This window comes from Homo sapiens, chromosome 10, assembly GCF_000001405.40.
Source record: "Homo sapiens chromosome 10, GRCh38.p14 Primary Assembly".
Lineage (NCBI taxonomy): Eukaryota > Metazoa > Chordata > Mammalia > Primates > Hominidae > Homo > Homo sapiens.
The window spans coordinates 106,676,817-106,700,509 of NC_000010.11; the positions used below are offsets into that span (position 1 = coordinate 106,676,817).

Genomic DNA, 23,693 nt, shown 5'->3' on the forward strand with positions numbered 1-23,693 from the left:
TCTCTCAGGAAACCAACCATCAGGCCTCCCAGGTAGTATCAAGGAGCTGAAACTTACCAGATAAAGACATCTGGACAATGAGAAGCCAGACTACTTACCCATCATGATTGCCTAATTGACAACTTGCTTCCTGTTGACCACTTCCTCTTCCTCACCTCCTCTTCTTTACCCTTCCCTAATTCCTGTTTCCTTACACCTGGTTACATTTCTTCCCTCTATATAAACCCCTACTTTTAGTCATCAGAGAGATGGACTTGGGACTGATTGCCCATATCCTTGGCTGCAGCACCCACTTAAAGCTTTCTTCACTGGCAATATTTGTTGTCTCAGTGGATTGGCTTTTTGTGTGGAGAGTAACAGGACCTGAACCAAACCTCGGCATTTTGGTAACAGATTTACTACAGAAACAGACACGGTTTGATAGCCTGACTCCTAGACTGATCTTAGCAGTTCAGGACCATCAGGTGCAGATTTCACAGGCAGCATGTGCCCTTACCAAAGATGTCGAATTGGGAGAGATGTGTGTTTCATAGCAACCAGGACTCCACCTTGATCCAGGTACAAAACACTGTGCTCTTCTTCAAAGATCTGGATGAGGAAAACACATACATGGACACACATCCACATCCACACATACCCAGGCTTCAGAGAATCAGTCTTCACATGAGAACAAAAATCCTTCCCATGATAAAAATAGGTTTCCCTAAATCTTTGCGAAAATAAAGCTATAGAACAGTTCTTCCCAACATGGGCTATTATACCATTGGTGTTGTACAAAATAATTTTAGGTGTGTATAAAATAAATTTGAACAATGAATATTTATGGGTTCATGCTTAGATTCCTTCATTTTCATGATAATTTCTATTGATTCCCAGTTATGATGATGTCAGAATATTGGTTAACTGTCATATATTATACATCTCTAGACAGAGGGAACCTTAGAAATCATTTACTCCAATAGTCTCATTTTCATAAATAAGAAATCTAAGGTTTAGAGAGATGTGGTAACTTGCCTGAGATCATGCATACAGTAATGGATAGAGCTTGGACTTGCTGCATTACAGTGCCCTTTCCAGATCTTATTATTTTGAAGTTTCCAACTGTTATCAAAGAAAACTGTTCTTGTTTAATTAATAGATGTTCCACCAAAATCATGGTGAGTTCTGTTGTCATCTTTGGGTACATGTGTCATTTGGTCTTTCTCCAAATGTAGAGAAAGAAATTTGAAGTCAAATGGAGACACAATGGAAACAATCTCTAGATCCTTTCTGTATAAGATGCATGCTGTTTTCTCGTCAGATTATTAGTGTAGCCTTGCCTGGAGTTACATTACAGACAATCTTCTTCCAATTTGTTTATTTCTTATACCCAAGATGCAACCCAAGACTATAGAAGTAAAGACTTCTTTGCCTTGCTTGCGGTGTTGGAAAGAAGAAAATGGGATCCTGGCTCTCTATTCTCCAGAGGAAGTTTACTTAGAATAGTCCAGGTTTCTACATACCTCCAAGATCAATTGCTATGGAGTTTCTTATGCAAATTTCTTCCCTTCCTCCTCCGCTCAAAATATCAGAATCCCACTGAGGATCTATAGAGGGTCTGAAGCTAAGAAATGGCATTTGGAATATAATGTGGACACCTCTGACTAAAATTTAAAGGAGAGTGCTCTCATCACTAAGTGTGATTACCTGTGCATTAGATTTCAATTTACAGTGCTAGTTATTGTATGATAATTAAACGTCAGTAGGTTATTAAAACATATTGATTGAAGTATAACAACCAAGCATTAGGTGCATATCTTGTTAAGATTGCTAAACCTCATTAAATGCCTGTTTTGTAAGCTATGGGTATCTAATTTTCATTCAGAAGAAAGGCAGGAAGCACTTAAGCTAAACACACTGGTTTAAAGTATTCCATTTCTACTTTCTCTAACATATGCATCCTGATGGTTATTACTCTGTCTTTTGCACATGAGATTTAAACATCTCAGAACACCACCTGGGTAATGGCCATTTCTATATCTGCATTCCTTCCTATTCTGACTTCAAGGCAAGGGGAATTTATGGAGCCAACTCAGCATTAGATATGTAATCTACCCTTAAGGCTGCATATTCCCTATATGATAAACCCTTAGGAATTCTGGTTTTCATCTGTGGGAAAAATTTAGTCAGACTTAATTTGGTTTCATTGTGACTTATAAACACCCTTACATACAAGCTCTGAGTAAGGAACATCTTTATTAAATGATAAAAAATCAAATTCCATAAATATTTGCTACACTCCAACATTTAAGACTTTTATATAAAAAGGAAAAATAAACATATTCACAGTCATTAGGATTTATGTGTAGCACCGCTGAAAAAAGTTCCCAGATTTGAACCAAGCTGGGCAATTTTTATGTTACTTAAACTTCAGCGATTTGACCCAGGGTATTTTCTTACCTGTCTCCAGGTGTTCCCTGCATCTGAAGAGACAAACATGCTGATGTCAGTGTCTGACAATTCAGAACCTATATTACCTAGAAAGAGAAAGGTGCCATTAGTGAAAAGAACTTTCTGCAAAAGCAACAATGGACTATATTGGCAGGTGCACTGCCTGAGAAAGATTTTGACTGCAAGCATTCTGTCTGTGCAGGGGTTTTCTGCAGACTTGCTTCAGGTCCAATGGTTTAGGTGCCTTTCAAAATTATTTTTAGCTTGCTCATTAAGTTCCAAGTACAGATATCTAGCTTCTTAAAATAAACTTCCAAGTACAGATATCTAGCTTCTTAAAATAAACACTATTTACCACAGCCAGCAAACCAGGTAAGCTTCTTACCTGATGCCACTATGATGCTTGGAGCTGTGTCTTTGCTGGCAATGATCCCTGATGTGTAGGGATTCTCAGAGACCTTCAGGTGAAGGTGTAGTGAGCAATAGGGCTGAAAAGAGAAATAATAAGTGCCACAAAATCACATAATCAAAATGGTCATTTGAAGCTCAGAATCAGATCATCCATCCATCTAACCAACCATCCCATTTACCATACATCCATGCACCACTCCAACCACCCATTGTATCTATACCTACCCAACATCTTCCATCCCCCAAATATCTAGTGTCCACTAAGTGTAAAACAGCCTTCAAGTTAGTAAAGACCACCTTCATTTTAGGTATAATCTAATTTGGTCTTTGTCATTACAGAGCTTACAATTTATATAGAGGGCATGAGATCCTTCCATTAATTACCATAAAAAGAGAATCTTTTAACAGCCATAAAAAATGAAGAGACAAAATAGTATGAGATTCTAGAAGGTGGAGAGACTATGCTGAACTTTGAATCATGAATGACTCCAAAAAGAAAACAGTGCCTGAAGCAAAGATGGATAGGCTATGAACAGTAGGTAGATGTTCAAGACGTTAAAGAATATTTCAAGCCTGAGTAACAGCAATAACAAAGAAAAAGAAGCAGAAAAGCTGAGCAGCACAGTATGTCATCAGAAAAGACTGAAGAGGAGAAATGGGATATGAAGCCAGGAGAGAAGGTCAAGTCAAGCTGGGAGGATTTTGAAAAAGTAGGTTGGCATCTCTTAGTCATTCTCCATTTGAGACCTTGGTCTCAGTTGTATAGAAAAAGTATGTGAAATTATCCAAATACCCGCCAGACAACTGACCCAGTATCTCTACCAGGATATTATCAGAATCAGAAATATTCAATATAAAAGTCACACTTGTAGACAAAATGCACTAGTAGTAAAAATTTAACTGAAAATGTAAGGGACTTGTTTGTGCAGAAACCTCATTCAAATTATCTGATTGAAATATCAACAGTTTTCAAGAAAAAAGGATAATAAATCTTATATGAATTTTGTTTAAAATAGTTCTTGTACTGAGTTGTCAAAAAATATAAGTTTGTGTTTGAGCCCACATTTCTTTTCATATCTCAGGAAGATTACTTTCTAATCTTATCAACTTGAGTTTCTGGAATCACCAGTGTATCTCTGTTATTACTTTTATTCTGCTCTGTAAGTTTCAGCCAGCAGACATTCAGACACCTACAGATACAATGATTAAATTTATATAGGATGGAGTAAATGACAAAGTGAAAATGAAACTCAGGAATAAAAACAGCCAGAACGCTGGTGAAATAAAACAGCAGATCACAATGGGATATTTTCTTTACTGCCAACAAAGTAAAACTCTCAAGGTGCACTAATAGTAACAAATGATTGGTTTTGCATAAAAATTTCATGTAAAGCTTTCAAAAAAAGGAGTTTTGACTTTATAATGTTCTATAGGACTAAAGAAGACAGCCCCTATTAGAAGAAATATCAGGCCTAGACTCTTGGCTTTTATTTGTCCAAGAGGAAGACTAGAACAGATATAATTAAATGCTGTGGATGTTCCAGAACAGCATAGTACAACACTCAGATGATGTAAGACAGGGTAAACCAGGAGTGCAAAACCAGTTTTCCATGAAAGTCTTCCCGATAACTGCAGCCTATCAGGCTCTCCTCTCCTCTAATCCACAACAATTTGTTTCACTATGCACAATCTTGTATTATCTATTTCAGGTACATACAATTATATCTCTCTAAGAATACACTCTATAAATAAAGATAACTGATTAAGTACTGTTTCGCATCTTTTGTGAAACCTAGCATAGAATCTAAACAAGATAATAAATAGAAGCTTGCAATATCAAGTAATGCTTTTTTGTTGGGACATGAAAGATATCACTTTACTATTTTACTCAGAGCAATGCCAGGAGTATGTGGGCTGGATTATCAACCACATAATCTGAATAATGTTGTGAGCATCTGTATGGCATTCCAAGAAGTAGACTACTGCTTGCGGATTATCCCTAGACATATGAGCTTAACAGAGGACTTTCTGCACCACCAAACAGAGGAGGACATCCCTAGCCAGGAGAGCACCCAACTTTCAATCTTAAGCCAGTTGCTTGCCACTGCTGGAAGATTTTGAGTTATTTGCCACCTGACCTAAGGATTATTTGGTAAGGGGCAGTTGCCATTACAAAAGAAAGATGTCAGGCCGGGCATGGTGGCTCACGCCTGTAATCCCAGCACTTCGGGAGGCCAAGGTGGGTGGATCACTTGAGGTCAGGAGTTCGAGACCAACCTGGCCAACATGGTGAAACCCTGTCTCTACTAAAAATACAAAAATTAGCCAGGCATGGTGGTGGGCACCTGTAGTCCCAGCTACTCGGGAGGCTGAGGCAGGAGAATCACTCAAACCCGGGAGGTGGAGGTTGCAGTTAGCCAAGATCACACCACTGCACTCCACCCTGGGTGACAGAGTGAGACTCCATCTCTAATACAAAACCAAAACAAAAACAAACAAAAAACAAACAAACAAACAAAACAAAAAACAAGAACAAAGAAAAGATGTCATTTTTCCATTGGCTACCTCAGCATGCCTCTGTTGCTATGGCTTTCAGAGGGCTGGGATACATTAATCTGAGGAAAAAAGACACCAGTTCACTCAGTAACAGCAACATTAGAAATGATCTTTTGGTGTACTTTTTTCTCCACTCTCACATTTGTAGTACTGGATTGCCCCCAGCTGGTATAAGGAAAATATTCTGTGGCTTTTTTCTTTCATTTTCTTCAAGGAAGTAACATAGTCTACACAAATATTTAAGGAAAAAACAGTGTGAAGTGATTCATCTTCACTTTTTTAACTTAAGCTGTTGTACTGACCAGTTTTGGACATTTGTCCAAGTTAAGTCATAAATAATTAATATAGTTTATATTAGTATATTTTATTATAATGCTTATCAAACCCCTCCAAGTTTCTGAAGGACACAGGACAAAGCTCTCCAGTCCTTATGCACATTTTGCCCAGGCTGGGGGCACATCATAGGCCCCTCTCTTCATTTCTCTTGTCTTCTGCCTTCTTTTCTCTCATTAGCAAATATGTGCTGAGTACCTACATATGCTAATAGTCACAATAGTTATCTCCAAGTCAATAGAGTCAAAGCACAGCCTGTTCCAAAGGCAGTTCTCTATTTTCCTGACCTTTCCACATTAAGAAAATGTAGAAATGTACACCCAAACCACCAATGCCAGCAGCTGACCTACAGAGGACAGAATGACCAGCACACATGCTTGGAAGCTGCCCTTTGCATCCTCACACATAGTCACAGGCCATGGCATATCATCAATTGGTAAATTCTAGGAGCAACTAGACTGTTAGTCTGTAATCTTTTCTGGGTCAGGTACAAAGTTTGGGGATCTGATGCAAATGAAAGACCAAGAAAAAGTGCACAGACACAACCATACAGAGTTTTTCACTTAATTTCAGGGAGTCTGCAAACCCCGAAACCCATAAGTGGACCTCTAGTTACTAGTTACCTTTCTTTGCCTGATTCTTTTAACCAATAAAATACTTTGGCTATTCCAAGTGTTCAATAAATGTCTGCTGAATTTAACTGATCCATTATTATTGTTTACTTCAAATATTTATCATTTATTCCTCTTGTCTAACTGAAACATTGTACCCTTTGACCAATATCTCCCTATTTCCCCCAACTTCTAGCCTCCAGTGACTACCATTCTGTCTCTGCTTCCATGAGTTTGATTGTTTTAGGTTCCACATAGAAGACAGAAATGCAGACTTGGTCTTTTTGTACCTGGCTTATTTCACTTAGCATAATGTTCTCCAGCTGATCCATTAATTATCTACTGTGTTTCTAGCATTGTGGATCCCACTGGGGAATTACCATAAAATGGAAGACATTTCCCCACCATGTAATAAATCAACTTTAAAAGCTGTTATATTACTTAAGGGTCAACCAGCTTCAAATCCCAATTCTTTCTCCTCAGCCTCTGTATCAACTGCCTTTAGATGCTATCTTCATGGTACCTTTATCTCCATGGTATCTAATCTGAATATTGTACTGAAAGGACAGATCAGAGCTTTTGTAAAGAACAAGCTCCCAAATAGTATCCCCAACACTCTCCCTCCCGAAATACATACTCATTTGTATAATTTCTTTCTTTGAGTTGGAACTCAAATTTATTACATCTTCAATAAAGAGTCAACGGCAAAGAGGAAGGAGGCCCCTGGAACAACTGGCTGGGTATGGGGAATTCAGCTCCAGCCCAAATCAGCAAAATATATAGAGTCACAGACAATGGAAGAAAGGTGAAAAACAGATTCTCCAATGGAAGAAAGGTGAAAAACAGATTCTCCTGGGGCAGCTGTCTGCTCAGCTCCAGTAGCAAACTGCCAGATAGGCCGGGCACGGTGGCTCATGCCTGTAATCCCAGCACTTTGGGAAGCCAAGGTAGGTGGATCATGAGGTCAAGAGATCAAGACCATCCTGGCCAACCAACATGGTGAAACCCTGTCTCTACTAAAAATACAAAAATTAGCTGGGCATAGTGGCACACACCTGTAATCCCATCTACTCGGGAGGCCAAGGCAGGAGAATCACTTGAATCCAGGAGGCAGAGGTTGCAGTGAGCCGAGATCGCACCACTGCACTCCAGCCTGGGTGACAAAGTGAGACTCAGTCTCAAAAAAACAGAAAAGAAAAGAAAACTGCCAGATGAATCCACAAAGTCAGCGCCTCTTTCCATTAAACACTGTGCTTTCCCTAAGGGCCCAAGGATTTGTCACAGGCTCAGTTCAGCTCACATCTTGCCCCTTGGGAGCCCAATCCTGAGGCATTGGACGCAGGTGGACCATGACCTGTAATATTCTATCTAATTGTACAATGCAGTCTTCAGAGGAAAGAAATCCCAGCTGGGCCCTCCAGGCAATCAGTCTAAAAGTCCTAAAAATATAGCCCAAATTACCCTAGATGTTTTATTTCTATAGCATAGATTTTTACCAGGAACACTGCATTCGGGCTGCAATTCTGAACTTATTCCACATCTGTAACAGCCCTGCTGAAAAAATCTCTTTTCTAATCACTAGGCTGTGCTTTCAGTGACACTGTCACTTTCCAAGTACTCACAATCGAAATCACTTTTTATCTCATCTCTGCCACCAGCTCCCAAGCCTAAAGAAGGTTTTTAACAGTCTTCGTCTCCTGTAGCTCAAAGATTTTCTTTCCTATTTAGTGCCTTTGGCAGATTTTTGTAAAGTGATTTTGGTCTCTCCTCCCTGCTTCCCTTTGTCATTTTCCCCTTCTCACCTGCAGCCTGCTTTCTGAAGCTCAGGTTGAAACTACATTAAACAACAGGGTTAACTAAGAAGGAAGGCTGGAAAACTCCCGAGTTCCATACATCTGTGTCCCAATAATCCCTCTTTCTTCCATCTTAATGAGCTTCCTGCTTTTGTTAACTTTGGGTTCCACTTGAGCCCACGAGCTTCAGAAGGTAGAAAATGTGACAAATCCTCCAGTGGACTCTCAGAGGGAATGAACAGCTTCCATTAAAATCCAAACGCGAAACTGTCACAACACCTTTCGATGGAGTGCACACTCCCAACGTGGCACCCCTAATGTTGAGCCCCTACCACATGGGTTGAGCCCCTACCACATGGCAGGTATGATTCCTGGAGTTGATTCTTTGGAGTGGTCAAAAACACAGGCACCGTCCCTAGGTTCATGAAGCCCACACTTCAGCAGGCAAGATGGACAAGAAAATTAAGTAGTACACCTGCTCATTTCAGATAACAATAAGGACCATGAAGAAAAAAAGAGTTAAGACAAATACAACTTTAGGGGATGCTCAAGAAAGTTCTCTAAAATTAAGATAATGAAGCAATGATCTGAAGGCCAAGAACAAGCCAGACAAAGAGAAGGGCATTTTAAGAGAAATTATAACAAATGCAAAGACCCTAAGAGATACATGAACATGGTGAGTTCACAGTATGCAAAGAAACACCCCCTCCTCCACTCTGGCTTACATATAAGGAAGAAGGGGAGGAGGGAGAGGCTGGAGACCAGGGAGGAGAACTACACAGGGGCCAGATCACATGGGGCCTCATCGGTCATGATAAAGTATTTTTATTTATTCTACATGTATTAGAAGCCATTAGAAGGTTTAAGGAAAGAAGGGATACGATCTGATTTTTCAAAAGTTCAAGTTGATAACATTTACACACAATTTTAAAAAACAGCAATCTGATATATAGTAAAATAAAGTGGATCATTGGTTGTGCTGGGCTGAGAGTGTGGGTTCTAACTGCAAAGAGGCACAAAGGTATTTTTCAGGGCAATGGAAATGTTGTCTTGATTGTAGCAATGGTTATATCGGTATATACATCTGTCAAAATTCATTGAACTATACTCTTAAAATCGGTATGTAAGTATATTTTACCTCAAAATAAAGTTGATTTTTTAAAAAAAATGGTCCCATTGGCTGCTGTCTAGAGAAGTGATTGCCAAGTAAAAGTGGGAGGACCAGTTAGAAGCCTGCCACTGTGGATCAGGTGAGCAACAATGCTGGCTTGGATTAGGGCAGTCCCAGTGGTGATGGGGAAGTAAGCTGATATTACATTTATATTTTGGAAGTACAACAATAAGAGTTTCTGACACTGCGTTGGGGGTGAAGCAGGGAATACCTTGCTAAGTGCTTAAAAGCCATTTTTAATGGTTCATTTATGATGCCAGAGTCCCCAGGCAAGCCCATTTAGGTGACATGGTTAATTATCTCTCATAGGCATTTAATCTCCAAAGTGCAGAGTAGAGACCAGCTTAAGGAACTGGCATATCCCATGCATCTTTGGTTAAGCAGCACTACGCTCCAACTTGCTATAGCTGAACTAGGAAGGTGGCCCTGTTTTTTAAAATGCCACCAAACTGTGCCTTGCGTAGAGTAGGTATTCAATAAATAGCTGCTACATTTACTTACTCTGTCACTGGCATTGTGCACTTACTATAACAACTGGCTTTTTCCTCCTCTTAAGTTGCCAGTAATAAGGATAGAAGCTGAGTGGGAGGCTGAATTTTAGACTGCTTCCCTGATGCACAGTGACAACTGTGATATCCTCTGCAACTAATAAGGTCAAGCTATGGCTGCTGGCATCTTCTCAACTAGAAGGGTGACCCGCCTACAGCTGTAAGAGATGAACCTGCAAAGTGACTGTCCAGACTTTATGGGATGGAAGGAAGCAAGCTGAGTGCGGATAACATCAAAGTCAGAACCGCATGAAGAGTGTGAACAACTATATATGTGTAGTTCATACACACACAACCCCCTCCCCTACAAGCCCTTCTTACTCAAATGAAGTGGTCCTCCCTCTAGGCTTACACAATCAGCTGTCCTTTTTCTAAATGTAGACACAACTTCTGAAGTGTTTTACAGACATTGATAGTATTAATAATGTTTGCAATTTGCAATTTGCCTCTTCCTCGCCTCCTTCTGCATTCACTCATTACTTATCTGTGTGTCAAAATTGGGGCAGGCATCAGAGCTACTAAGAGGAATAAGACGTGACCCTGCAATCTTCCATTTATTAATCTAGACACATTCAAGTAGACAAGTAGACTGCAAACTCCTTGAAAGCAAGATTCATCTTTGATCCTCCTTTTGGATGCCATCATATATCAAATATATAAATAAATTCATACTAATCTATATACTGCCCAAATGTAAGGCAACTAAAAGAAAGCCATACTTTAAAGTAGGGGTCAGCAAACCTTTGTAAAGGGCCAGATAATAAATATCAGGCTTTTTTTGTGATACAGATAATAAATACCTTGGCCTTTGTTCACCAAACAAAGTCTCTCTCGTGACTACTCAATTCTGCCTTTGTAGAGTGAAAGCAGCCGTCAACAATACATGAATGAATAAGCATGACTGTGTTCCAATAAAACCCTATTTAGAAAAACAAGTGGTGGGCCATATTTTTCCCACAGGCTATAGTTTGCCAACTTCAGTTTTACGGAGTAAGACATAAATGAACAGAATATATTGTAAAGAATACCAATAAGGGTATAAATCAGTGGTTCTTACCTTTTTTGAGTCATAAACTCCTCTGAAAATATGATTAAACATCTCCACAAGAAAATACACCTACACGACTCTGCATTCAGTTCATCAACTCTACAGCTGAATTTATGTATCATTAGTTCTGCAACAGGTTACTCATGAGAAAATAGGTTGTTCAGTGTGTATCCTCACCAGGGATAGAAACTGTCATATTCTCCCTCAAACTACCATTTGAGGCCCTCATCAGAACTTGGGCGGGAAACAAGGATCCTGGAAGGGCACAAGAAATATGCCCATGTTCTCCCATCTCTTTGGCACATCACACTAGGCAGTGCTGTGAGTTTTCTACACCCTTTGCCTTCACGCCCTTCCCCACTCCCTTTTGTTCATCAACTGAGCAAAAGTCCCAGAACTATCCTCACCCTCTGTTAAATATCCATTTCCATCCCTCTACTGTGTGAGGCATTCTGCTTCAATAGGAAGACTCACCAGCAAGCAGTGCACGGGGTCCCCCCTTAGATCCGTGTCCGGCGCCTGCAGCAAACGCCAGTCTCTGCCTTTGTTATATGTGATGAAAGTCTTCACTTGGTTGTCAATCTTCTTGTTAGCCAAGAACATTCCCTTTATCCCTGCTACCTGGGAAAAATTGACATGGCTGAAAAATACATCAATTTGAGAAGGGATATATTTGTTTACTTTTTAAAAAAAGAAGGCTGTCAAAGTCAGCTGAGAGCACTTGCCTTGGAGGAAAGAAAGGTTGACGATGGGGGAAGGAGGTGGCTCAAGGTATAATGACTTCCTAGGCTACTGGACAAACAACAACAGATTGGTGATCCTTATCATATGGGGGTCACAACAGGAGTTTGATAGGGGTTTCTTATTACCCCTAACATAGGCTGACAGGAGCCCGCAGTTGCCAAGAGATAAATTCTCATGGTTTCAGCTCTGTTGCTTGGTAAGTAATAATAAATAAATAGGGGCTACTTCTATTGTATGCTAGTGTAGCACCCAGATCTCACTTAATCCTTAAAACACTCCTCTTTGGTATCGTTTATTCTATTTCACAGATGAAGAAAGCTCAGGCTCATCCAAACAAAGTGACTTGCCTAAGGTCACACTGCCCAAGGGCACACAGTAAGTATCAGACTCAGGATTATTAACCCACAACTCTGCGGCTTCACAGCTCATGCTCTTAATGCCTACCTCAATTATCAAGCTATCTGCAGGCTTGGGCAGTTGAAAGAGGCAGTTAAAGCTCCTGAACCAATTACTGTTGCTTTATTTCTATGTAAGATCTCTCTGTTAAGCCACCAGAATACACGGAACATAAGAGGACAGCTTTTAAATTTAAATAAATGGTGATTTCCCTAAATCATCAAATACTCCCTACTTTGTTTTTATAACATGGTTGTTCTCAGCCTAAACAGATGCTATTAATTATTTGGCTCTGAAAATATGATTGTCTCCTCCCTTCTATATGTTAGGTAAGAAGTAGTAATTAGTAATTTGTCAAACTATTACAAAAGCAAATAATTGTGCATTACATTTTTCTTGTGTTTTGGAGTTTATCAAACACATTCATGCATATTTTACCCTGCTTGCAACTGTAACAGCTCAGGAAAACTGGAGGGCAGTGAGGAAAAGGACTGAAACATGTTGAGTAATGCATTCCAATGCTGCATGTACATTACCTCATTTAATACTCAGAATAACCATGGAATAATTATCATTAGCCACATTTTGAGGATGAGGAAATAGATACTTTGACTTGGTGGCTTTCTGGAACACACCTAGGGAGTAAGTGAGCAGGCTAGCAAGCCTATTTGAACCTACTTAACTTGGGCCCTTTATAACACGAAAAATTTTTAAGCAGAATAGTGAAGCAATTAGCTGTCACCTCTCCAGACCTCGCCAAACGCCAAGCACTATGTCCAGCATTTTATTTACAAAACCTCCAATACTCACTACAAACCTGCACCTGCAGCTTTTACCCCAATTCTACAGATAAAGAAACTGAGATCACAGAAAGTTGAGATTCACACCCAAATCTGCCTGACTTCCAAGATTGTTTCAACAAATACAGCTTGAATTTGTCAATTCTAAGAGGTTGGGTTTCAATCGATAGAAGACACACATTTTGCCTTTGCTTTTGACAGTCAGACCTCATTAGTGTGTACCTGCTGATCTGGCATCTGGGATAATTTATAGTTGGGCCAAATTTGTACTCTTTTGAAACAACAAGCATGTTAAACAACTAAATGGTATAAATGAGCTGCAGAGAGGAATACTTTGAACTATCATACTCAGGAAACAAGGTGCATTCTGTGCAATCAGTAGCAGCCAGACCAACTTCTTGTGCATTGTCTAAACTCAACAAATGTGGAAGGCATAAACTCCAGGAGCACTCTACCTCACAACAGCAGTGTGTTAATTACAAATAATATTTAGTAATTTACTACACCAGCTCCGCAAGGGCTTCCCACCAGGGAATTCCATATTGGTTTTGTATATGTTCAAGAAGCTGTTACATACTCAAATATGAATAAACTGCCAGTTCTTTAAAAAATTAAATTACGTAAATCAGAATTTCACAAAGTCATACTGGTCCTTCCTCTATACCATTCCCAGAAATGACAAATGACCATGTCTTAGCCATTCAACACTCTAAAGGGTGACAATAACTGCAGAAGGAATAAAAATGTTACCTATTCCAGTAGTTTCATTGCCCATTTTCCTTCCTGCCCTCTCCCTCTTCTGGCAAGGGTGCCAGCGCAGGGTTATACATGTTTGGGAGCTGGTTCATTTGATTCGCAGAAGTGGCGACTTTATTGGCCCCCGACTGCTTGGCATTATCAAATGCCACTTGAGCAAAGAGCTGTGCTTTGTAATTCATCTCTGGCAGCTTGGCCTTCAGGTTTATCTTGAGGAATAAAAACTTGGCAAAGTAAAGGGAATGTGTATCGACAGGGGATAGAGCTGGAGAGGGTCTGCTTATTGCTTATTTTCCTCTTGCAGCCAAGGCACTTTGTCCATTTAAGGTAGGGTTTTTTATTTTGTTGTTTTCTTTTGTTGCTTTGGCCTGGTCTGCAAATGTAGTCAGCCCTAGTCTTAGGTTTTTGTGCTATTCACTGTTCCTTTCACTCTGAGCTTGAGAAATCCGTCTTTCTGTGTGTCTCACGGAAACCCCTAGGCACGCACAAGCCACCTTCTTCCAGTACTCTATTCTAAGGTCTCATCCTACGTTTCTTGGAACCTCTACCCTCTCACTGTAGGACTTTGGCTATCAAGGGGACTAATACCAAGCATTAGTGCCCCAAATGTGGAATGTGTGTGGGTGTACATGGGTGTACCTGTCTATGCATGTAGTATATGTCTCTCTTTGTGTGAGTGTAAGGTCTGAGGTTCCACTGAGGATGAGGGAGCATGTTTATGTTTCTAGATAACCTCTCTGTATCCATACTGCATGCATATTTATGGAATAGAGTGGAGCTAAGGGATGGGGTAGGGTGGGGTAAAGTAATATTTCCTACGGAAGCCATGTCTTCCCATAGACACAGAATTTCTGATGACAAACCTCCCATGGGAATGGTACATCCCACTGTTGGAAGTCTGTCCTCCTTTGGGAAAAGAATTGTTGCCTTTAATGCCCTTCTGAATTCTGCATAAAGATCTTTAAGAATTCTAAGTGTGCTGGAATGCTACTTTAGTCCCTTTGCTTCTCCTACAGAGAAATTTGCTACCAGACATCTCAAAAGTAATTAATAGTTATTTCTTATTATTTAATATCATATAAGTCAAGATATCATTTTAATTAGACTAAATATGAAGTGTTATAGCTCAAACCTTAAGCCTAACACAAAGTACATCGGTGCATTTCCTGTTGCCAACGTGATGGTCTCAGAACACTTCCTTCCCTTCTCTTATCTGACTCTCTTTGTTCACAAAGGCCACCCCCAACTCCCTGAGAAAGCCTCCTGATGTGCCTCTACCTATTCATCCTTAAAGATTCAGCTCATAAACCTTTTCCAAAAACCAGGATCTCTTTTCATCCTGATTATCCCAACACTTCTCTGTTCTTTAATTTGTCTCTCATACAGATGGTATCTGTATCTTGACTGTCAAGAACTGTGGGATCTTCCTAGGGGACTCAATATTCCTGTAAACATCTCTAGTACTCCTTATGCTCTTTATCATAAATTAATTCCAATTTGGTCATCCCCTGTGTGACCTCTCACATTATGGTCTCCTACTCTAATACAACCTTCGGATTGTCATTCACTCCACCAACCTGCTCTTTAAAATTAATAACAGTAAAGTAACTTTATACAAAGAACCCTGTTTGTTTGTTTGTTTGAAACAGGGTCTCTCTCTCTCTGGCACCTAAGCTGGAGAGCAGTGGTGTGACCACAGCTCACTGCAGCCACGACCTCCTGGGCTCAAGCGATCCTCCCACCTCAGCCTTCCAAGTAGCTGAGACTACAGTTGCACACCACTATGCCCAGCTAATTTTGGGTTCTTTTGTTTGTTTGTTTTGTTTTGTTTTTGGTAGAGACAGGGTTTTGTCACATTGCCCAGGCTGGTCTCAAACTCCTGGGCTCAAGCAAGCCACCTGCCTTGGCCTCCCAAAGTGCTGGGATTCCAGGTGTGAGCCACAGCGCCAGCCCCTGTTTTTTTTCCTACTGAAATAGGTAGTAAGAGTTCTGCATTAGAAGGTACAACACCCAAGCCTCTGGTAACCACGACTGGGGAGAAGATGCGAGGAGGAGAAATGGGGAATGACTACTAATGGTTGTGGAGCTTCTGTACTGGACAATGAAAATGACCTAAAATTGTGGTGGTGGCTGTGCAGCTCTGTGAACACACTAGAAACCACTGGATTTTACATTTTAAGTGGGCAAACTGTATGATATGTGACTTACATCTTAATAAAGCTGTTTTAAAGGAAAGATATAACAATCCAAATTTATTGATTATTAAATTTCAGGTACCAGAGGTTGAACATCCCTAATCCAGAAATCCAAAATGCTCCAAAACTTGGAATGTTTTAAGCACTGACATGATGCTATAAGTGTAACATTCTACACCTAATCATATGTGATGGGTCACAGTCAAAACACAATCAAAACTCTAAAGAAAAGAAAAATATTTAAGGTGATGAATAATCTCAAGTATACTAATATGTTATTTACTAATTATATAAATGTATTAAATTATTATATATACCCTGAAAATGTGTGCCTATTATGTACCAATAAAAAATAAAAAATAAATTTCTAGAATACAAAAAAACTGTTTAATGCACAAAATTATTAAACATATTGTTTAAAATTACCTTCAGGCTATGTGATAAGGTATATATGAAACATAAATTAACCCTGTGTGTACACTTGGGTCCCAGTTCCAATATATCTCATTATATATATGCAAATATTGCAAAATCCAAAAATGTCTAAAATCTGAAACCCTACTGGTCCCAAGCATTTCAGATAAGGTATACTCAACCTGTACATGAAAGGCTTTGCAAACATGAACTTGTGAATCTTTGCATGCTTTAGAATTCATATTATCCTTATTTTACAGAAGAGAAAACTGAAATTCAGATGTGGCTAATCACTTGCCTAAGGTCATCCCATTGGAGAATCTTAGATCTGGACTCCAAGTCAGTCTGTCTAACTACAGAGTCTACACCCTTAGGCCTGTGGCTGTACTGTCTCTTCGAACTTCTCTCTCATCCTAGAGTGGCCTGAGAGAAATATCGTATCAGAATGTTCTACTCAAAGAAATTGTATTTTATTCAGTCGTTAGTACATTTACTCTAGCCATTCAATAAATATTTTCTGAGCATCTACTACGTATCATATGATCTTCTAGGCACTTGGCAGATATAATATGTAGAAGATCTCAACAACTATCTTTTTTGAGAGTTAGAATGTGCTAGGTGCTGAGAATTCCTATTTCTTTGGTGACTTAAAGAAAAAAACACAGGTATCTCCCTTGCTTTTTAGGTTTACTTTCTGGATGGTTCTGTCCTGTTCTTATGGGAATCAGTCTTCCCATAAATATCTCTAGTACTTCTTATGCTCTTTATTATAAATCAATTCAAAGGAACTTACATATTTGTGTAAGAAAACCTTTTGTAAGTTCCATGCAGAGGCTAAGTTGGGAAGACTCCTGTGCAAGAGTTTTTGCTTATTTCTGCCTTTAATGCTGACTAAAAGATGAATACTACCTACCACCCTCTCAGTCTCAGACTTAAATTACAAATCCTAAGTGCCAAAATTTCAAAAAAAAATTAAAAAGATGAAACAACGACTGTGGCAAGAAAGAGAACATATTCATGGCCACAATTTCTTTGGGCTTTGTGGATGGGATATTTTTCTCGAGAGGACAACAGGAAGGATAAACATGAGGCCGGGGTGCCTTCACAATCAGGGAACCCACTGGCCAAGAAAAACCTAAATGTTCTTTCCTTCTCTGTTGCCTCAACCAAAGAGCACTCTCCTCCTCAAACAGCACTCTCCTCCTCTAGAGACAGTAGCCTGAAATAATAGTACATTCTTTTATTATTATTATTTTTCCTTTTTTGAGGAGGAGTCTTGCTCTGTCGCCCAGGCTGGCACCATCTCGGCTCACTGCAACCTCCACCTCATGGGTGCAAGTGATTCTCCTGCCTCAGCCTCCCAAGTAGCTGGGACTTCACCACACCCAGCTAATTTCTGTATTTTTAGTAGAGATGGTTTCGCCATGTTGGCCAGGCTGGTCATAAACACTTACCCTCTGGTGATTCTTCTGCCTCTGCCTCCTAAAGTGCTGGGATTACAAGCATGAGCCACTGCACCTGGCCAATAGTACATTCAATATCCTGTAATAAATGTATCTTCAATAGGACAGCATTTTTCTTCCCTACCTCCTAAACTAGATTGTAAGAGGCAGTCTTGCTCCAAAAAATCAAGATGTATGCTATATTATCATAACCGTTGAGTTTTCTCTTTTAAAGAGAGGGTACTCATAACGTACAGAAGACACTGTGTGTAACAGAACATGCCCTGGTCACTGGCTGTCCTTCATGACACCCACCAGGGCTCACTCATGTATGCACACATTCTTGTGTATTCTGAATTTGTCAGCCAGGTGGCTTCACTCCCAACACAACCCTTTGCACTCAGCTGGGGTGAACTGTCATTGTCTATTAAGCCAAAGTGCTCTTCATCATCATTAATTAATATTCACTTCCCAAAGGAGAGAAGGTACCATCCAAACCTGTCAGGCTCCCTCTCATCATCCACACTACACAAAACCATCAGGCATCACTCTTCTCACAGACACTCAGCACATTTTTTTTTTGCTCTGGCCACCATCAGACATGCAGCCTGATGCACTGCATGATGCACACGATGCACCGGACCATTCATTCTATTCAGGTGTGATGGAGTTTTAGGACACTTGTTTCCAGGCTTTTCTTACACAAATACATCCACCCGACAAGACTGTGAGCCATGTGTAAATATAGCCTGAACTTAGCTGTAACTAAGGACTTGGTACTAAAGGTGCTGCATAGATAGGTCTCGGGCAATCAAACTTCTGATTCTCTTTACATTGACTTTTCCCCAGATCATTTTCTTCTTCCAGTCTTCTGTTTTCACTGGTATGCAAAGTCTAACCCTATTTACCCTGCCCTTCTACGTTCTTCAGTCTTAATGCTGTCACTCTTCCACAACCAAATACAAGCCCAGATGCTGATCCTTCAGGAAAAATGTGACAGTCTATAGTTGAGAGTTTGCACACTCTAGGGTTTAGGTCCTAACTCTGCCACTTACCATCTTTGCGGTCTTGCAAAAGTTGCTGTATTCCCTCTGCCTCCATTTACTTATATTTGAAGTGAAAGTGACAACAGTCCCTACCTCATAATGTATGTACTGAATGGGAGAGTTATGGAAGGTTCTTTACACCATGCCTGGCATAAAGTGGCCCAAAATATTAGCCATTATTAATGATATCAATTAATGATATTAATGATAACAAAATTCATTTCTAGTATTTTTGCTCTGTGGCCAACTTTCCTGGCTCTCATTTCTTGGCTCTCTTGAATGGAGTCCAATTGACACTGATGGAAAATTCTGATATTTCAATAACTAAACCATACAAGCTGTACCCTCAACACTTTGTCTCCAGCATTTCTCTCTCTCATTCCACACACACACATAGTTCTAGGGTAGAGAACACAGAATCTGTAGCCAGGTTCCAATGTATTTGCAAACAAAATGCTTAATTTTAATGAGCACAGTGCTTCCTTCTGCATTTTTTAGAAAGACCCGTCAGCAATGCACATCCTTGATACACAGATCCATCTACATGTTTATACATTATACAGTTCACCTCTGCTAAAATAGCCTGAAGAGCTCACAAAGGCAGGAATAGCACATAATTGGCATGAAGAAGCAAACAAAGAACAAAGGCCATCCTCTTCAGTCACCCCAAATGTGAGCAGACATGCACTCCATGTATGCTATCTCTGTAACCCCCACCTCATGTGTTGCTCATCTTTGCTCCTTAGTAATTCATTTATGGATTTTCTTACTTCTCATTTATCTCTAAACTCTCATCATTCATTGCAATTCTACTGGGAAATTCATGCTGGATGGCTTTCAGCTTCCTGCTAGCCAGAACAATCAGATTTAAGGGAACATTTGTGCCAGGCTCTGTGTCAGCCAATATTCTTTCTATCTAGGTAATCAGCAGATACGGCACTGCCGTTCTGATCACATCAATTTCAATTCAAGTTGCTGTGAACTGTCAGGCTAATAAAACAAAGACTCCTCTCTCCCAGCCCCAGGATGCAGAGCACCTTTACATAATACAGTCACATCACTGCTCAAAATGATGATAATAAGAGCCAGCAGTTTCCCTACAGATAGTCAACTGCAAGAGAGGCACAAAGGGGAAACACAAGATTAACAAAGCAATGTTTGGCATGTCCAGAGGTCGCCTTGTTTCCTCTTTTCATTTCATACCTGTTACCGATGTTTGAATTCAGAAAACTAGTCATGAAAATAGCTGCAAACAACAAGACATTGCAAAGTCATTCCTGTCTAAATTTGTCATTTTTTCATCATCAAGGGACCAATTAAAATGGTTTTTATTTCTGGCAGTAAACAAAATTTATCCAGAGAATCAATTCCATGTTGACACAAAAAGAGGGAAGAGGATAATCAGGAAGGGGAAAATGGAACCTGAAAGTCAGAATATGTTTTTGGGAGACTAAGGATAGAACGAGGGCTAGGAAAGAAAACTGGGGATTAAGCTTGGGCAGTTGCTTTGACTTCATGCCAGTGGATGCTCAGAGCAAGAATCCTTCCATTTCAAGTGTTCAGTCAAGGCAAGAAAATGCATGGCATTTCAACAAAACATACTTCAAGTTAAAATGTTTATAATCTATTTACAAATGAAAAGAGAAATGTTGCAATTTACACTTATTTATAAGAAGACAGCTACTTGGTATAGGCCATAATCCCAGCACTTTGGGAGGCCGAGGCGGGCAGATCACAAGGTCAGGAGTTCGAGATCAGCCTGGCCAATATGGTGAAACTCCGTCTCTACTAAAAATACAGAAATTAGCCGGGCATGGTAGTGGGAGTCCCAGCTACTCGGGAGGCTGAGGAAGGAGAATAGCTTCAACCCAGGAGGCGGAGATTGCAGTGAACCAAGATCACGCCACTGCACTCCAGCCTGGGTGACAGAGTGAGACTCCATCTCAAAATAAATAAATAAATAAATAAAAGACAACTACTTGGTATAAAGAATGTCACGTGGCTGCACTAATTTCAGTATGGGAAGATGTAGGAATCCAAAATAATATAAATGTTTTGGGCATTTACACAATGCAGGGAGATGTTAAGGCTATGAGAGTAGAAGAACACTGTAGTGGTGCTTGAACACATTGGAAAATAATATTAAAGCCCTGTGCTCCGTGCTTTGAAAGGATTAACTCATTTAATCCTCAGAAAAATCACATCTAGTAGGTTTCATGTTTATCTCCATATTTTAAGCAACGAAACTGTGGCTCAGAAATTACTGGATTTGTCTCAAGAATACATACAAGTGGCATCGCTAGGATTTAAGCACAAGCAACCTAAATCCAAAATCTGTACTCTAAATTAAATTTTATTCAACATGAAGATGAAACTAAATCATCACAATATGTAAATTTCTTCTAGAATACAGTCTGAGGCTGTCATACATGATATTGTATTTATCTGAAACATGGGCAGGAGAAGAAGTGGAAAAACTTATGAAAGTATGAAAAAGTTTGCAATGCATTTTTCTAAACATATACACATAAACTAGACCCTATGCTAGTCTGCCATAATTTCTATTACAAATACCTGGGCTCTAAATTTGGCATACAGTTTACTAACATGCTTTTATACATACACAGAAGTTTAGATACTAGAAGAAAATCACTAAGAACCTCTGAACGAGAAGGAAGATAGAACACATCATTGAAAGGAATTACAATGATAGGTTAAAATTTCTTAAGTGAAATTAGTTTCTTTCATACTGGATATACCCTTACTTCTTAGACAAACAATCTCTTGACTCACTGCTCTTGTTCTCAACTAAATGACAGTGTCATTATGACTGTACATATCTGAATCCATTTTAGATTTTTTTCAGCTAGAATATAGGTATATTGTTACACTTCCCAAATTCTGACTGTTTTCAAATGGCTTATTATAACCTATTATAAATCTTTCATAGCGCATGATAAGAGTAACGAATGGCTAAAATCCATGCCAAAGCAGCAGTTTTCTTTCTAGCTAACTGTGCCTTCAATGGCAATTAAAGCATTGGTATTTATCATGAAAGCCAACCAATCCAACATACATGATTTTCTTTTGAATCTTGGCCATTTTGAGAAATAAAGACTCTGCTAAGCTCTGTTCTTGATGTTGTAGTTGTTTATTTTATTTTTCTGGATTTAGGAGACAAGCACCTGTTAATCTTATCTCATTCTCTGGCCCTGTGAGAAAAAGGCCATTAGCCAAGGGAGCTTATTTAACCAGAAAGGTCTTCAAGTCCAAATGGAGTGTCTTCTGCTGGATGCAGGAGACCTTATCCCCTTCATTCTTTCTTCTGAGAGACAAGGGAGTGCATCCACCATCCCTTTACTCACAGCCCTGTCTGCCTTTCAGAACTATGTCCAAACATCACAAGCAGACCACTCTCATCAAACCCTGTAATTGACTGCCTCCCCAGACATTCCGCAAGTCCACAAAGCCTTCATGTCCTATGGAGTTTGTCAAAAAAGAATCCCTCCCAGAATCCCCCAGAGATCTTCTGTGGATTGCAAATTAACTAATAAAAATGTTCTGCAAATCTTTCCATCTCCCAAGAGAAATGAGGCCACATAAGGAACTGTATTAAAATGACCAGGAAAAGAGTCCATGCGGGGCTTCCATCAGCCAGCTGGGCACTGCTGTGGCTTAGGACCACATATGCCTCGTGACATACCTCATAGAGGTCGATCATGATGTTGCCCTCAGGGCCTCTGCTGCTCTGGACATTCTCCAAGGCCAGGGTGAAGTAGACACCACGTGTGTCTGAGATGTAGAGGTTGTACGTGTCATTCTGGTTCCATTCTTGGACCGCTGCGAACACCTGATTCTCATCGGTGCTGATAACATGCATGTCCTGTGAAAAGACACAAGGTCGTGAAGAGGGAAAAAGAGTTTTATACATTAACCTGGCAGGCATCCAAAGAGTGTGGAATCAAATGAGGAATACCAGAATGAGCACTTTAATGGAAGATAGCTTCCTTTTGCATATATAAGAAATAATAGTTAAGCATTAATCATATATTTCCTTTGTCACTTGTGGGGTTAGGCAATAAGGTCATGAGAAAATAGGATGAAGGGATGTTTGATAGACCAGTTTTAATTGCCTCATTACATAATTCGAAAAATGCTTTCTTAAATATGTATGATTCGGAGAATCAAGCATCCTGATATTTTTGCCAAGCACAAATATGATACTTGCTCAGAAGGCATATATGGGGTAGATATGAGGAAAAGCTGGAGGAACAGAGAGAAAATAGACAAACCCTGCATGTCTCAGCATGGCTCATGGACCAGCAGCAAGGACATCACCTGGAAGCTTATTAAACATATAGAACCTTGGGCCTCACCTGGTGAATCAAAATGTGCATTTAATAAGATTGCTAAATAATTACCATGCATATTAAAGTTTGAAAAGCACTGCCCAAAGGTTCAGCAACCCCTAGCCAGTCTCCTCTACCCTCAGCCCTAAGAAAACATTCACCAGAGAAACCCAAAGTACTAACCCTCATGTTAGTGTGTTCAAAGACTTAGCTGCTTATCAAAATCTAAACTGAGAGGTTCTGCAGGAATCCTCCAGTGAAAAAGGGTAAAAGATAGCCTGCATAACTGATGATGTTTTCAGAGCCTGTTTGTCCTGGAAGATAGAATTAAAGCAAAGGTAGCGCGGAGGCAGTAACAAGTGCCCCTGGGGTGGGAATTTCAAATTCTTTTTCCCCCATTCATAACTCTAGAGAAGTACAATGGAAGCTACCACAGTCCAAAGCTTGCTGACTCAGACCAAGGCCTGCTTTCTTCTTTATGGGATGTCTGTTCATATGCTCTAGCCTGCATTTTACCCTTTGCCCAAGATAGTAGTCATAAAACAACTTCCAAAAACCAAAAAAATTAAAGCTAAGTAACCAAAACAAACAAACGAAAACAAAGATTGCATATAACCACAAAGGTAGAAGAACAACGTAGAACAATTCTT

At 39.8% G+C, this 23,693-nt stretch overlaps 1 protein-coding gene across 17 annotated transcripts in view; it reads right to left on the minus strand.

Moving 5' to 3' along the window:
* Nucleotides 1–23,693, minus strand: part of SORCS1 (sortilin related VPS10 domain containing receptor 1) — a 607,476-nt gene that overhangs the window by 103,154 nt on the left and 480,629 nt on the right. For 16 of the 17 annotated variants that reach the window (XM_017015617.1, XM_047424547.1, XM_017015615.3 and 13 more), the window contains exons 9-13: nucleotides 22,398–22,577; nucleotides 11,376–11,522; nucleotides 2,816–2,918; nucleotides 2,440–2,516; nucleotides 497–588 (exon numbers count right to left, since the gene is read on the minus strand). In XM_017015617.1, coding sequence (XP_016871106.1) covers nucleotides 497–588; nucleotides 2,440–2,516; nucleotides 2,816–2,918; nucleotides 11,376–11,522; nucleotides 22,398–22,577 — 599 coding nt within the window. Of the gene's footprint in view, nucleotides 1–496; nucleotides 589–2,439; nucleotides 2,517–2,815; nucleotides 2,919–11,375; nucleotides 11,523–22,397; nucleotides 22,578–23,693 lie in introns of those variants that run through there. The other variant, XM_017015618.1, reaches the window with a different exon arrangement.